The sequence below is a fragment of the Homo sapiens genome, chromosome 17, assembly GCF_000001405.40.
Source record: "Homo sapiens chromosome 17, GRCh38.p14 Primary Assembly".
NCBI classification, from domain to species: Eukaryota; Metazoa; Chordata; class Mammalia; order Primates; family Hominidae; genus Homo; species Homo sapiens.
In genome coordinates this window covers 45,941,292-45,955,623 of record NC_000017.11, presented here as the reverse complement: position 1 = coordinate 45,955,623, position 14,332 = coordinate 45,941,292, and the positions used below count along the sequence as shown (strand labels likewise).

Here is a 14,332-nt window from a genome sequence, read left to right as displayed (position 1 = left end):
GCTTGTGTTGTGGCTGCCAACACCCCTTCTCTGCACATCGACACATCACCAAGTCTGTGGCGATGGGGTAAACCACTGGACACGCTGGCTGCTCCCCACTCACCTGTAGGTGGGTGAGGTGGCTGGCTTGGACTTTGTCCACAGGCAGCACCACAGAGGTGCCCTCGGTGAATTTGGCAGCAGCAGGCGGGGCCGATTGGATGGGTAGAGAGCAACTGTTCATAGGGAGCTGACTGCAGTGGTCCAAGCATGCAGTGAAAAGGCAGAGGTGATGGAAAGGAAGGAATGGAGCCAAGAAGTGTATTTGAGAAAATACTAGACTGGGCTTCAAAATCGGGTTGGGGTCAGGGAGAGGGATTAAAAGCTCGTATTATGCTAGAGGTGGGCTTGGACGGTTGGGAAATAGGGGATGGGGGTCACACAGTCAAAGGGAACACCCTCAGGAGGGAAGGCAGCTGGACAAGGGTGGGTTGTTTTTAGGAGAGCCGCTGCTTCAAAGAATCCTGCCCTCTCTTCCCCGTGACTGCGTTTTACTAACTGGTGACTCATTTGACTTAATGAGCTCTAGAAAATTTGTTCTACTATGCCCCTTGGCTTTCATTATAATTTTTTTTTGTTTTTGTTTTTGTTTTTGTTTTTGAGACGGAGTCTCGCTCTTTCGCCCAGGCTGGACTGCAAGTGGCACGATCTCGGCTCACTGCAAGCTCCACCTCCCGGGTTCAAGACATTCTCCTGCCTCAGCCTCCCGAGTAGCTGGGACTACAGGCGCCCGCCACTGTGCCCGGCTAATTTTTTTTTTGTATTTTTAGTAGAGACGGGGTTTCACCGTGTTAGCCAAGATGGTCTCGATCTCCTGGCCTCGTGATCCACCCACCTCAGCCTCCCAAAGTGCTGGGATTACAGGCGTGAGCCACCATGCCCGGCCAGCTTTCATTATAATTTTAAATTGATTCCTTTTTATATGGTTTTATTTATTTTACTTTGCATTATTTATTTATTTGGAGACAAGGTCTTGCTCTGTCGCCCAGGCTGAGGTGCAGTGGTGCCATCACAGCTCACTGCAGCCTCGACTTCCTGGGCTCAGGCGATCCTCCCACCTCAGTCTCCCGAGTGGCTAGGACCACAGGTGTGCACCACCATGCCTGGCTAATGTTTTGTATTTTTTGTAGAGATGGAGTCTTACTATGTTGCCCAGGCTGGTCATGAACTCCAGAGCTCAAGCGATCCGCCTGCCTCGGCCTCCCAAATTGCTGAGGTTAAGGTCAAGAGTCGGCACATTTTTTTCTGGAAAGGGCCAGATAGTAAATATTGTAAGGCTTTGTGGGCCACGTGGTCTCTGTTGTAACTGCTCAACGTAATTGTAGCGGGAAAGCAGCCATCGAGCATAAATAAATGAGCATGACTGTGTTCTGATAAAACACTATTTATAGATATTAGAATTTGAATTTCCCATAGCTTTCATGTGTCACAAAACATCATCTTATTTTATTTCATTTTTCAACCACTTAAAAATGTGAAAATCATTCTTAGCTCAAGGACAGTTTTGGCCCACGTGCCAGAGTTTTTAGACTCCTTCTTTAGGCTTCTCCAGTATTTCTTCGATCGAAAAAAAAGAAAAACTGTGAATCGGTCTTAGCAAGAATCATTGTATGTTCCGATCACCTCCTATATTCTCAGTGTGGAGTTCTGCTTTTCATGTTGGGTTTTCCTCAGCTGCTTCTAGAGGTTTCCATGGGTTCCAAGTCAGGAGCAGGAGAATCAAAGGTCATTCCCAGGACTCAGGGCAATGCGCCACTGTTTTGGAGGCTGGGGATGCTCGCTCAGGGTATTTCTCTGTTGGGCTGCCTCATTCAGCACCACAGAGCAGATGACAGGGCAATGAGTCTCACTGTCCTGGTTTCCAATAAAGATCCCTCCTTCCCCTCCCCCTCCACCATCCCTGCAGGGCTAGAGAGAGTCAGATGCACCAATAGAAGGCTGATGACCTACAGGGGCTGATGCAGAAATCAACTCATCCTTAAAATACAGGCTACTATTTACTATGCAAAATAAATAAACTGTGTGCCTCTCAAGGGTCAATATTTTCTTTTGGGGAAAAAAGTGGAATGCATGGGAAGAATCTCTAAGCAGGGAGGCTCAGCCTCCACCCTGATCCTGGGACAGGAAATGCTCGTAGGTTCATGGACCTTCTGATTAGACTCGGTTGCAAGAGTCACTGCACTGCATTGGCTGGGCTAGGTCAGCTGCCCCATGCTAATGCTTTGGGACCTACCTGCCATGTTAAGAAAGACAAGCCCATTTTCAGGAGCATCCTTGAGGCGCTACTTGACATAGGCAGAAAATAGGACCCAGAAAGATGTCCCTGGAGAGCAAAATGAAGTGACTCTTCTCAGTCTTACAACCAACACTGACTGAGCACAAGAACGACAGCTTCGCCAGGTAGGACTTGCAGGGTCACGCAGTGCCATAGCCCCAGGGCCTGGCAGCAGGTAGTGCTCACCCAGCACCTGCCAGAGAAGGGGCGCTTGCTCCATGCAGGTGCCTTGCAGGCATCTCTGTGACCCTTCAGGGCAATCCTTGAGGTAGGTGTCATCATCATCATCATCATCATCATCATCATAGGTGTTATGATTCCCAGGAGTCTGGGAAGTTACCTGCCCCAGGTCACACAGCCAGTAAGAGGCAGACAGAAATGCAAAGTGATGCTCCGCTGCCCCTCACTGCCCTTCCTTCATCCTGGACCATAAAACATCCCCCAACTTTTTACTTGAGATGTCAGGGTGCAGGTCTAGGGTATGGAAGAAGCAGTGGCCAGGTCTCACATCCAACAGCTGGGTAACCAAGCCACTTCTCTCAACCTTCAGGTTCTTTGCCGCCCAAACCATTTGGTGACCCCAGGGCTCCCTTCTTATGCTGACATTGTATTCTATGTGGGTCCATAGGCTGAGAAGCTGGGACCACAGGTATGCACCACCATGCCTGGCTAATTTTTTGTATTTTTTGTAGAGATGGGGTTTCACTATGTTGCCCAGGCTGGTCATGAACCCCAGGGCTCAAGCGATCCACCTGCCTTGGCCTCCCAAAGTGCTGGGATCACAGGTGTGAGCCACAGCACCCAGTCTAAATTTTTATTTTTTATGAACCTTTATTTTGTATGGGTTTTTCAATGAAGAAATACTCTACTTTAGCCTGTGTCTTCTAACTCAGGAGGCTGGGGCGGGGTAGTGATCAGTGACAGGACAGCAGGAGGCCTCCAGCCCAGGCCAGGTGAGAGGCAGGGGACCCTGGCATCCTAGCCAAGGACCTGGCTCCTTCCTTTCCCTCCCATCTCTGACCCCTGCTGCCCACCTCCTCCAGAAGGGCAGGATGATTTCTCTGGAAGAACTGGATAAAGGATATCTAAACCAACAGACAAATGGCGCAGCTGTGCCTCTTGGCCTGGGACTCCCATGCAAAGATAGTGAATTGAAAAACACATCAATAAGCATGCCCTTGAGGTGACTACGCAGCCTGGACCAGACGTGTCATCACCCACAGATCCCTGTAATCTAAGCGAGACACACAGACAGGAAAATACACTTGATCTTAGCCAAAAGGCCGAGAAGCGATACACAGACAGGAAAATAAACACACCAAGGCTGTTTTCCTCAGACCACTTGTTTTCTTCTTTTCTAAATCCATCAGCCTTCCTCCCTCTCTCTCTCTCTCCTCCTCTCTCTCTCTCTTCCTTTCTCCTTTCCTCAATCCTGTTTTCTCAGGCAGTGACTTAGATGCAGTGGGGTGGGAGGTAAGGAACACATTTTAGGGGAGGCACTAAAGTTGAGTGAAACCTGGACACTAAAATGGGACATTTTTTAGGGACCCTTGGAAAGGTATTGCCTCCTGAGTCCGTCCCTGTGGTTTTTTAGCTAAATTGAGGCCCGGGGGGCGGGGTGGGGGAAGGGGCTAGCTGAGTCACTGTTGGTGCCTTCTTCAGAATCACACCCTCCCAGTCTCAATTCATGCCTCGTAGGGAGACACTGGAGACACGGAAATCTGGAGGGTGGGGGCAGACAAAGAAAGGGAAAAGTGTCTGCAGGGTTGAGAGAGAGAGAGAGAGATGAGAACAAAGATAACAGTTCAGAGTAAAAGAAGAAGACGTCGGAGGGCGAGGGGGTGAGGCAGGGGAGGGATGAGCCATGGAATCGAATCATAAATCCAATCACTGCTGCCGCTACCCATAGGCTTTTCTCTTTTCAAACAACTGTTTTTGATTGACTTAAAATTCATGCAACGTAAAGAACGATTTAAAATGAATGATTCAGTGGCATTTAGTACATTCACAATGTTGTACAACTATCACCTCTATCTAGTTCCAAAACATTCTCACCAAACCCAGAAGAAAGGCTGGACCTCATAGACAGCTGCTCCCCCTTCTCCCCTTCGCCAGTCCCCAGCTGCTCATCTACTTTCTGTCACCATGGATGTATCTCTTCTGGATATTTCGTATAAGGGAAGTCACACAGCACGTGGCTTTTGGTGACTGGCTTCTTTCACTGTGAATCCAGATCTTGGCACGGCTCCGTGCTTCATTCCTTGGGTAATGGGAGGGATAGTCCACATTGGTTTATTCATTCATCCATTGATGGACACCACAGTCTTTTAATAAGTGAAAAGTGTGGAGCCGAGTGCGGTGGCTCACACCTGAAATCCCAGCACTTCCGGAGGCTCAGGCAGGCAGATCACTTGAGGCCAGGAGTTCGAGACCAGCCTGGCCAACATGGTGAAACCCCGTCTCTACTAAAAATACAAAAATTAGCTGGGCATAGTGGCACATATCTGTAATCTCAGCTACTCGGGAGGCTGAGGCATGAGAATCACTTGAACCCAGGAGGGAGAGGTTGCAGTGAGCCTAGATCATGCCACTGAACTCCAGCCTGGGTTAAGACTCTGTCTCAAAAAATACATAAATAAATAAATAAATAAAATTTTAAAAATTAAAAGTATGGGAACTAGACAATATGGACCTTTTTATTGTGACTTTTCTGACAACAATGGAGATGGGGTGGAGGGAGAAGGGTGTGTGTGCAGGAAGGGGAGTGCGTGGCCGAGGAAGGAGCCTGGCAGGGGCCCAGACAACCTTCACCTTCTTCCTCATTTTGCCAAGGCTGGGGCCTCCAAGAACCCCTAGGCCCTCAGGGACAGGGATGTGCAGGTGAGACCCTGGGTCCCTTTTGCTCCCAAAGAATAGAGTCTTTGCAGCAGAGTTCACATCTTCTGTGCAGCTTACCTGAAGGGACAGCTTTGGCTGTCCCCTGAGGTGTTGTGGGGTGGACGAGAAACCCCAGGCATCTCGCCCACCTCCAAGGTGACCCTGGGCATCACTGGGGAATGCTGCGTGCTGTTTGGAACATGTCTGCCATTTTCCTGGGCACCTGCCCATGACAGTGCATCCAGGCTCACTGTAACCTGTGAGGTGGGCAGGATGGCGACCCTAGGTGGGTAAAGGACCTGAGAGGTAGAAACTTGCCCAAGGCCACCGAGCCCCAGTGACCCAACTCCCCCCAACACACATCCCTGCCCTCAAGGCAGGATTCCCGACAGCTTTGCCCCTCTGCTCCCTACGTTGTCACCTCCTCCCCAAACAAATCTCTGCTTACAAAATCCAACTGGCTACTCTCTCAGGAGAACCTCCCTGGGGATTCTTAAAGCCCCAGCTTTTGCTCCTAGTCTGTCTAGCAGGTCTGTAGGTTTCCCACGATCTGGGGCTGTTTCTTGCTGCAAGGAGGTGATGACCAATCCGCCTTCCTCCACCTGCCACCATCCTTCCCATTCCTTCTAACTTTCTTACTCAAGGCAGTACAGTTTGGTAATGATAACTCAGGTTCTAGAAAGCTCCTTGGGCAAGGGAGGGGGACCAGTCAACATCCCTTGCCAGTTTTGGATTATTAATAACATGTTTATTTCAGCCCTCAGGATGAGCCACTCACAGGGGCTTCACAGAGAGGATCTCTGTAATGCTCACAACCACCCCGTGAGAAGGAATGATGAGGAAACTGAAGCTCAGAGACGTTCAGAAACCTTTTTAGGGTCACACAGCTAGTAAGCAGAGAGCAAGGCTTGAATTCTGATATTTTGATGCTAAAACCCATCTCTATGCTACTGTATCAAACGGGTGCCTTCCCAACAGAGCAACCCCTTTGGGAAAGGGGAGCTGACGTTCATTACCCAGGCCCTGCTGGAGTCAAGAGTCCAGGGGCTCAGGGGAAGCCCGAGTCGGGCTGGTCTCCTACACCGCGGGCGCATCAAGCTGGGGACCTGGACCGAGCTTCCAGTCTAAATCCGACGGCCGTGGAGCGGCCCCGGCGGGTGTCTCAGGCTGCGCTGCGGCCCTCGCTAGGGGGCAGCCAAGGAAGGTCCCGGGCTCCGCCGCCGCGCACCAGGCGCCCGCGGTGACTCAGCAGAATCGCCCCCTGGCCCGCGGTTCTGGTCTGGGGAAAGCGTGGTCCTCCTTATCCCTTCAGTTAAAAACTCAGACTGGAATCAAGGACAGGGAAGGCTGCACAGCCTTGTGAATATACCGGAAACATTTTAAAAGAGTGACTTTTATGGCATATGAATTATATCTCAATAAAGCTATCGTTAAAAACAAACAAAAATCCCCTAAATGGATCTCTTGCAGGTAACTGAAGACCAAGCAGAGATAAACCTAGAATCCAAAAATAACCTTAACATGCGCTTTGTTCTCCAAGGTAATTTTTGGCTTCTGCACCCTGTCTTTCCTTTGCTCTGGTCTCCTGTTCTGCACCACCAGGAATTTTCCAGCACATTTAGGCGGAAAGCAGGATTTCTCATGATAGGAACCATGTTTGAAGCATTTCCAGTTATTACCTCATTTAATTCACACAACAAACTATTATGCTGACATAATACAGCTGGGGAAACTGAGGAACAGACAGGTTGAGTAAGTTGCCCAAGGTCACACAGGAAGTATGTAATGGAGCCAGGCTTCAAAACCCAGACATCCTGGCACCAGCAGCAGACCTGTCAGGCCAAGTGATAGCCGAGATTAAATCAAGCAGTGACTGGTAACAGCTAAGGAATATAAGGGCTGGCCCAACAGAACTAAAGCTCTTGTTTCCTGGGAGAACTTTCTCCTTATTCACAGTTTGTTCTTGAATGCTTATGGTCCAGCTGTTTTGCTTTAAGGTATAAAGATAAATGTTAGGGCAGGCATCCTAGTCCTGGGCCTAGGTGAAGGCTGGAGCCCACAGTCTCTCGGAAATCCCTCTACTCCAGGAGCGGGGAGCGAGTGCAACTAAAGGAAAAGAGCCCAGGAGGGCTGGGTGCGGTGGCTCATACCTTAATCCCAGTATTTTGGAAGGCCAAGGTGGGCAGATCACTTGAGGCCAGGAGTTCGAGACCAGCCTGGCTAACATTGAGAAACCCTGTCTCTACCAAAAGTACAAAAATTAGCCAGGTGTGGTGGCAGGCACCTGTAATCCCAGCTACTCAGGAGGCAGAGGCAGGAGAATGCTTGAACCTGGGAGGCAGAGGTTGCAGTGAGCCGAGATCACACCACTGCACTCCAGCCTGGGTGACAGAGTAAGACTCTGTCTCAAAATAAATAAATAAAAAATAACAACAACAAAAAAACCTAGTCATTAAATGGTTAACTATGGTTAGCCCTAGGGAATGGGAGTGGGGAAGGGTGGGATCCATTTTTTTCGCTTATTCCATGCTATTTTGATTTATTTCAATGAGTATAGATAATTTGAAATTTAAAAGAAAAATAAACAGTATTTTTTAGAAGTGGGGTGATTTTGAGAGAAATGTGGAGGGGTTAAGGGGAAAGACGAGGACAAAGGAAATGGAAAGTTGGAGCTTAGATGAGAACCTCTGTCTAAGGTAACTGGAGGTCATCAAGTCAAACATACTATAGATGAATCAACAGCAAGGCCAGGCGCGGTGGCTCACACCTGTAATCCCAGCACACTGGGAGGCCGAGGTGGGTGAATCATCTGAGGTCAGGAGTTCGAGACCAGCCTGACCAACATGGTGAAACCCTGTCTCTACTAAAAACACAAAAATTAGCTGGGTGTGGTGGTGGGCACCTGTAATCCCAGCTACTGGGGAGGCTGAGGCAGGAGAATTGCTTAAACCCGGGAGGTGGTGGTTGCATGCAGTGAGCCGAGATCATGCCACTGCACTCCAGCCTGGGTGACAGAGTAAGACTGCCTGAGGAAAAAAAAAAAAAAAAAGAAAAAGAAAGAGATGAGGAGGCTTAATAAACACCCTTGTGACGCTGGATCTTGGTGTCTCAGATGCTAAACATACTCTTCTGTGGCAGCTGGTCCCCAACTTTGAGCTTCTAAGAAGGAGCTGTGTCTCCTTTTGTGTCCCCTCCTCTCTCCTGCCCACCACAAGTGGCGCCCAGCACACAGGCAGCCACTGGGAGGTGCTCAGTAAGACTGGCCCTTGAAGAGCTCTGAAGTGTGAGCTCTGGTCACATTGCATCACACCACAGAATGTTCTGGAACCAAATTGAACTACTACTAATGAAAGACCCAGATTTCAAGCAGAACTGCCAAATTAAAGAGAGAAGATAAGGAGCATACAGAAAGGAAAGACTCATGCTGGCAAGAAGAAACTTAAATAATTCCGGGCCTCAATCCAAAGAGAATAATCAACGATTGTATGAGGGCATAGATGAAGGCTGCTTTTTGGGAGGAGGTGGTGCCACTGTGTGCACACGGATGGTTGCTGCTGATGTCAGTTGGCTAATGCCCACTGTCATGAGAAAATTCCCAGATTGTGTCTGAGAGGACAATTTTGGTTTTGACCTAAGGTTTCTGGGTTTGTTGTGTTGTTTGTTTGTTTTAACTAAAAGCTTCTCTCCTCCATTGTAACTACTGGAATAGCCAATAGTGCTTGTAAATCTGTCATGCTTGGATGGCCTTTGTTTTTAGAACTACTATAGATCTAAAAACTACCCCATTTTTGACATATATATATATATATATATATATTTTTTTTTTTTTTTTTTAAGACAGAGTCCCCCTCGGTCGCCCAGGCTGGAGTGTGGTGGTGCCATCTCGGCTCACTGCAACCTCTACCTCTCGGGTTCAAGCAATTCTCCTGCCTCAGCCTCCCAAGTAGCTGGGACTACAGGCACCCACCACGCCTGGCTAATTTTTGAACTTTTAGTAGAGACAAGGTTTCACCATGTTGGCCAGGTTGATCTCGAACTCCTGACCTCAAGTGATCCACTCACCTCAGCCTCCCAAAGTGGTGGTATTACAGGTGTGAGCCACCGTGCCTGGCCCAATACTGTTTTTGATCAGGCAACAGCCTTCAGTGAGGATGACAGTGGTTGTGTGAGACAAACTGATGGTGCTCCTGTCCCTCCCTGTGTCCACGAATGCCCCTGGTCACCACTTTAATCTGCCTGAAATGAATCCCCTGAACCCAGAGCCCCAAGTGGATGAGAAGCAGTTTCCTCTGATGTCAGAATCAAGAAAACCAGAGCAAAAAAAACTGTCTTTCTTGGGCAAACCACTCTTATTCTTTAAAGGAGTAGTAGGGGCTGGAGAGAATGTATTTTATAAAAGTGATTTATGGTCCTTATTTAAAAGTCAAATACAAAATTATAAAAGAGAAAAGCAAAGGAACCACTCTAACATCTTAGGGCACAACCTTGCAGACCCCTCTCCTATGCACACATGTAATTTTCCCTACATGGCACCATATTACACCAGTTGTTCTGCAGCCTACTTTATTCCCTTAACAATATGCTGGTATTAACAAGCTTTGTCTTTTTTTCTTTTTTTTTGAGATTGCGTCTCCCTCTGTTGCCTCGGTTTGAGTACAGTGGTGCGATCTCGGCTCACTGCAACCTTCACCTCCTGGGTTCTAGTGATTCTCCTGCCTCAGCCTCCTGAGTAGCTGGGATTACAGGTGTGCACCACCACGCCCAGCTAATTTTTGTATTTTTAGTAGGGATGGGGTTTCACCATGTTGGCCAGGCTGGTCTCGAACTCCTGATCTCAAGTGATCCGCCTGCCTTGGCCTCCCAAAGTGCTAGGATTACAGGTGTGAGCCACCATGTCCAGCCAATAAGCTTTGTCTTTTGGTTGACCTCCAATGGGTATAATTTGTAGCATCGCTGTTGAGAGGGGGTCCCTACCTTCCAGCTCTAACAGGCAGCAAATGGTCCACAAACCAACTCAACATTACCCTTAAATATGCTAGAGGGGGAGGGATTGGCTTTTACATCTTCGATCCCTTTTTAGCCACACATATTCTTCCCTTAATAACAAGAGTAAATATTTCTATAGCCAGGCACTGTTACACATTTATCTTGTTTAATCCTCACAGCCACATAGGTGCAAGGGGCTGTTATTATCTTATTATCCCCGTTTTACACATGATGTTCAGCTGCCCAGGCTGAGGAAGGACACCTGTGGCATTGCATCTGCAGTCTCAGCCTTCGGTGGCACTGGGTGGGTTTGGAGACCTCCACCAACCAATCATGAAGCCCCACTCGAGGCCCTAATGTAGGAGGAGTCGCTCCAACCACACCTTTGTGGGTACATAGGCCCTCTTTGCTCCATTTTACAGCTGGGAAAACCAAGGCAAAGAGAGGCTGAGGAACCTCTAGTGGACCCAGAGAGAGTGAGGAGAGAGTCTGGCGAGAGGTGATTTGCTGGAGAGTTCAGCTTTACAGTGGGAAGTCTGTTGGGAGTGAGAGTCGGGAGGGATGGTGGGACTGTCGCAGCAGCATCACGGCCACTCTCTGAGGATGAATGGTCCTTCTTACAGTCAGGGCGTTGCCTCAGCAGCACCTCCGGGTGCTGCGAGGCCTCTCAGAGGCACCCTTGGGTCACTGGCCAAAGAGCACTGTGGGTTCTCGGAAGCACCTGCTCTTCCATCAGCTGTAAACCGGAATGATAACCAGCTCCTAGGCTTTGGTTTCTGAATGTACGCTGCGAACGATGCACTGCCTTGGCCTCATGGCAGGGGCTGGGGAGGCCCGCTCTACCCTGTACCCCGACCCGGGCCCAAAGCTGAGCTTGAAGGGCCCCCTGCTTGGCTTCTCGTTGGACCTGGAGCTCACCCATGAAGCCAGGACTCACGATGTGGCGATGCCACTTGCGCATCTATCCCCACGGGTACACAGAGAGGCCACTCGCCCCCAACCCCTCTCCTGGAATGCACCATATCCAGCCTTGTGAGTGGATGGGTGCCTGGACTCCCTGGGCCCCTGAGTTTGGAGGTGGAGGCTTTGGCTTCACGTCTTCCTGAAGGACACCTGTTCTCGGCTCAGCTCCCTCCATGGATTTGGGTGGAAAGGGAACCCGGACTGGAGTCAGAAGCCCTGGTGGGGTCCACTGGCTAGCTGTTGAGGCTGGGCCAGTCACTTGCCCTCTCTGAACTGCAATTCTTCATTTGAAACATGGGGATGATGACACTCCTGCCCCACAGGGTGGCTGTGATTGTCACTAGAAAAAAATGCATGAGAAAGGTGGCACTTGAACAAGCAGTCATATTCTGGACTGATGCGAGGTGCTGAAGTCATGACGTGTGAGTGGAGAAGGAGACTCCTGAAGATGGAGAAGAGGAGGCTGGACCTAAGGGAGAAAAGCAGGAGCCAGTAGGAGAGGCTTTGTCCCAACTTCTGCCCTGATGGTGGTGGGGTGACAGCAGGAAGAGGTGAGAGGCAGCTCTGGGGCAGCCCTGGAGAGGAGAGAAACAAGGGGCAACTTCCGGGAAGGTCTCAGAAGTGGTGGAGCGAAGGTAAACTTCAAAAGGAGAACCAGAGAATCTGTTCCTCATTCCTTCCAGCGCTGGAACCCACACAATGTGACAGGCAAGCACAGGGAAGACAAGGAAGGCGATCTGGGGGGACAGAGGGCCTGGCACTTTCTGCACTGAAGTCTCAGCTTTCGGGTAATGCACCCAGGAGCAGTGGGGTAGGTGGGAGTTTGAAAGGCCACAGAAAATGACCAGAAATGGGCTCTTTTTGCCATGATAGTTCATTAGATGGGGACAACAAGGAAGACAGGGAGGGGAGAGGAGGATTAGGAAGAAAAGGTGATAGTTTTTAAGATGTTTTCACTTCTAATTTTTGAGTCTGAGGTCACACTCTGAAAGTCGCAGGGGAGAAGAGGATGGCAATTCTGTTGGAAATCAGCAGTTGTCTGCCAGTAATGAACGACCTGAGCTCAGCACCGTCTTGGAGGGACAGAAGATAAACAGTGTCCGCTGAACACACGTAAGAAGTGCCACACTGCCAGGCATGGTGGCTCATGCCTGTAATCCCAGCACTTTGGGAGGCTGAGGTAGGCAGATCACTTGAGGCCAAAAGTTCGAGATCAGCTTGGCCAACACAGCAAAACAACATCTTTACTAAAAGTACAAAAATTTAGCTAGGCACGATGGTGCACATCTATAATCCCAGCTACTTGGGAGGCTGAGGCACAAGAATTGCTTGAACCTGGGAGGCGGAGGTTGCAGTGAGCTGAGATCATGCCACTGCACTCCAGCCAGGGTGACAGAGTGAGATTCTGTCTCAAAAAAAGAGAAGTGCCATACCAGGGCAAGCATACACATCTCCGAATTCTGTCTGACAGAGACAAAGTGCCCCCAGACACTTCTGCATGGCGGCATTGGGGCCAGAGATAAGCACAGCGCAGTGCAGGGAGTCAGACCAGGCTGCCTGGAGTCCACTCCGAATCCTTCACTTAGGAGCTGTGCGACTTTGGGGCAAGTCACTCAACCTCCCAGAGCCTCCTTTGCATTGTCTGTAAAATGTGGGGATTAGGTGAGTTAATACATGTCAAGTGTTCAGAACCATCGCTGGCTGTCGATGAACCCTACTATGGTTACCATCGTTAAAACTTTATCCATTAATTTAGCCAAACTTTTCTGTCTCCTGTTTGTATTTTCAAACTAAACAGCTTTTCAGGGCAAAGGGCCCCACCCCATTCTGGATCCTGGTATTGGGAGGGCTTTGCCTAGATTTGCATTATAATAGTGCCCCAGCTCCCGTCTGAATTTGGAGAGGCGCCTGGAGCTAGTTCTAGATTCAGAGTCCACCAGCGGGGAAGCAATGCTGGGAAGCAAAAGAAAGACTGTGGAAGGCTCTGAAGGCTCTTGTTTGACAGTACCCACGACACGTGGTGCCCCTTGGCCCTCTCGATGCAGCCTCCGGCCAGGCAGGGCAGATGGCAGACCCTGTGAGATCATCCCCTGGTCCCGTGACACCCTGGGGACAGAGCCAAAACCGTGTCCTGGTGCACCCTGGGCGAAGCCAACTGCTTTGTAAGGAAGAAGAAACGTACACTCTAGAGAGGTCCATGCATCATCAAGTGAAAACAGTAGTTGCAGAAATGTGCATGTTCAGAATTTTTATACATAAGAAAAGAATACATATATGTGTAGTCAAACAAATAAACAAACTAGAGTATATATGCCCAACAGGGGCTTTCTCTGTGAAGAGAAATACAATTAGGGAGATTTTCCCTTATTAGTGTCTACATTTTTGTCTCATTATACTGTTTTATAAACATGTATTATGTTTACAATCAGATGAAAGGCAATAATATGTTCTCATTTTGACAAAACAAAATGCTCTCGTTACAGAGTCATGTTCCACTGAGGATCTGTCCCACAGTGCCCTGTGGGTCTAGATCAATTTAAATGGACATATCAGAATTTGGATCAGGAAGAAAACAAAGTCAGAAGCACACACCTAGGTTCTGGGCCCCAAGAACATGATTTCAGAAAAAGCAGCCTCTCTCAATGCCAAATGTCCATTATCCAACAGAAAGACCAAAGAACAGCCTGGACAACATTTATGTCCTGAAACAGAAATTAGTCACATACCAGGAAGGAAGGAAGGAAGGAAGGAAGGAAGGAAGGAAGGAAGGAAGGAAGGCAGGCAGGAAGGAAGGAAGGAAGGAGGGAAGGGGGGAAGGGGGGAAGGGTGGAAGGGGGGAAGGAGGGAAAGAGGGAAGGAGGGAAGGGGGGAGGGAGGGAAGGAAGGAAGGAAGGGCGGGCAAAGGAGAAAAAGCTGGCAAGAAAGAAGCACAAAGAGTGTAGACACAGAAGAGGAAATGAAGTTCTGCTTGGAAAATGGCAAAACTCTACACCCCTGGGGTAGAAGCCAGGGGCAGGGGGAAGGAGGGGTCTCTGAGAGTCATTAAAGGGGAGACCCAGGAAATGAGAAGTCTGCCTCTGTGCTACGCCCTCCACACCCACCTGTGTCTGAGAGGCTTCTGGGTCTTCCAAGAGCCTTAAGAAAAGACCATCAAAATCATCAAGGAAGACTAAAACCACTGAATTGTAACTC

General features: G+C 49.2%; 1 protein-coding gene across 29 annotated transcripts in view, besides 1 other annotated feature; it reads right to left on the bottom strand.

The window, feature by feature from the left end:
* Positions 1-14,332, bottom strand: part of MAPT (microtubule associated protein tau) — a 133,781-nt gene that overhangs the window by 72,711 nt on the left and 46,738 nt on the right. The window lies entirely within an intron of this gene.
* Positions 12,713-13,213: an enhancer, noted in NCBI's record as "OCT4-H3K4me1 hESC enhancer chr17:44019777-44020277 (GRCh37/hg19 assembly coordinates)". NCBI's record gives its function as "activates a minimal SCP1, AML or CMV promoter by ChIP-STARR-seq in primed H9 embryonic stem cells {active_cell/tissue: H9 hESC(primed)}" and the evidence as "EXISTENCE:reporter gene assay evidence [ECO:0000049][PMID:30033119]".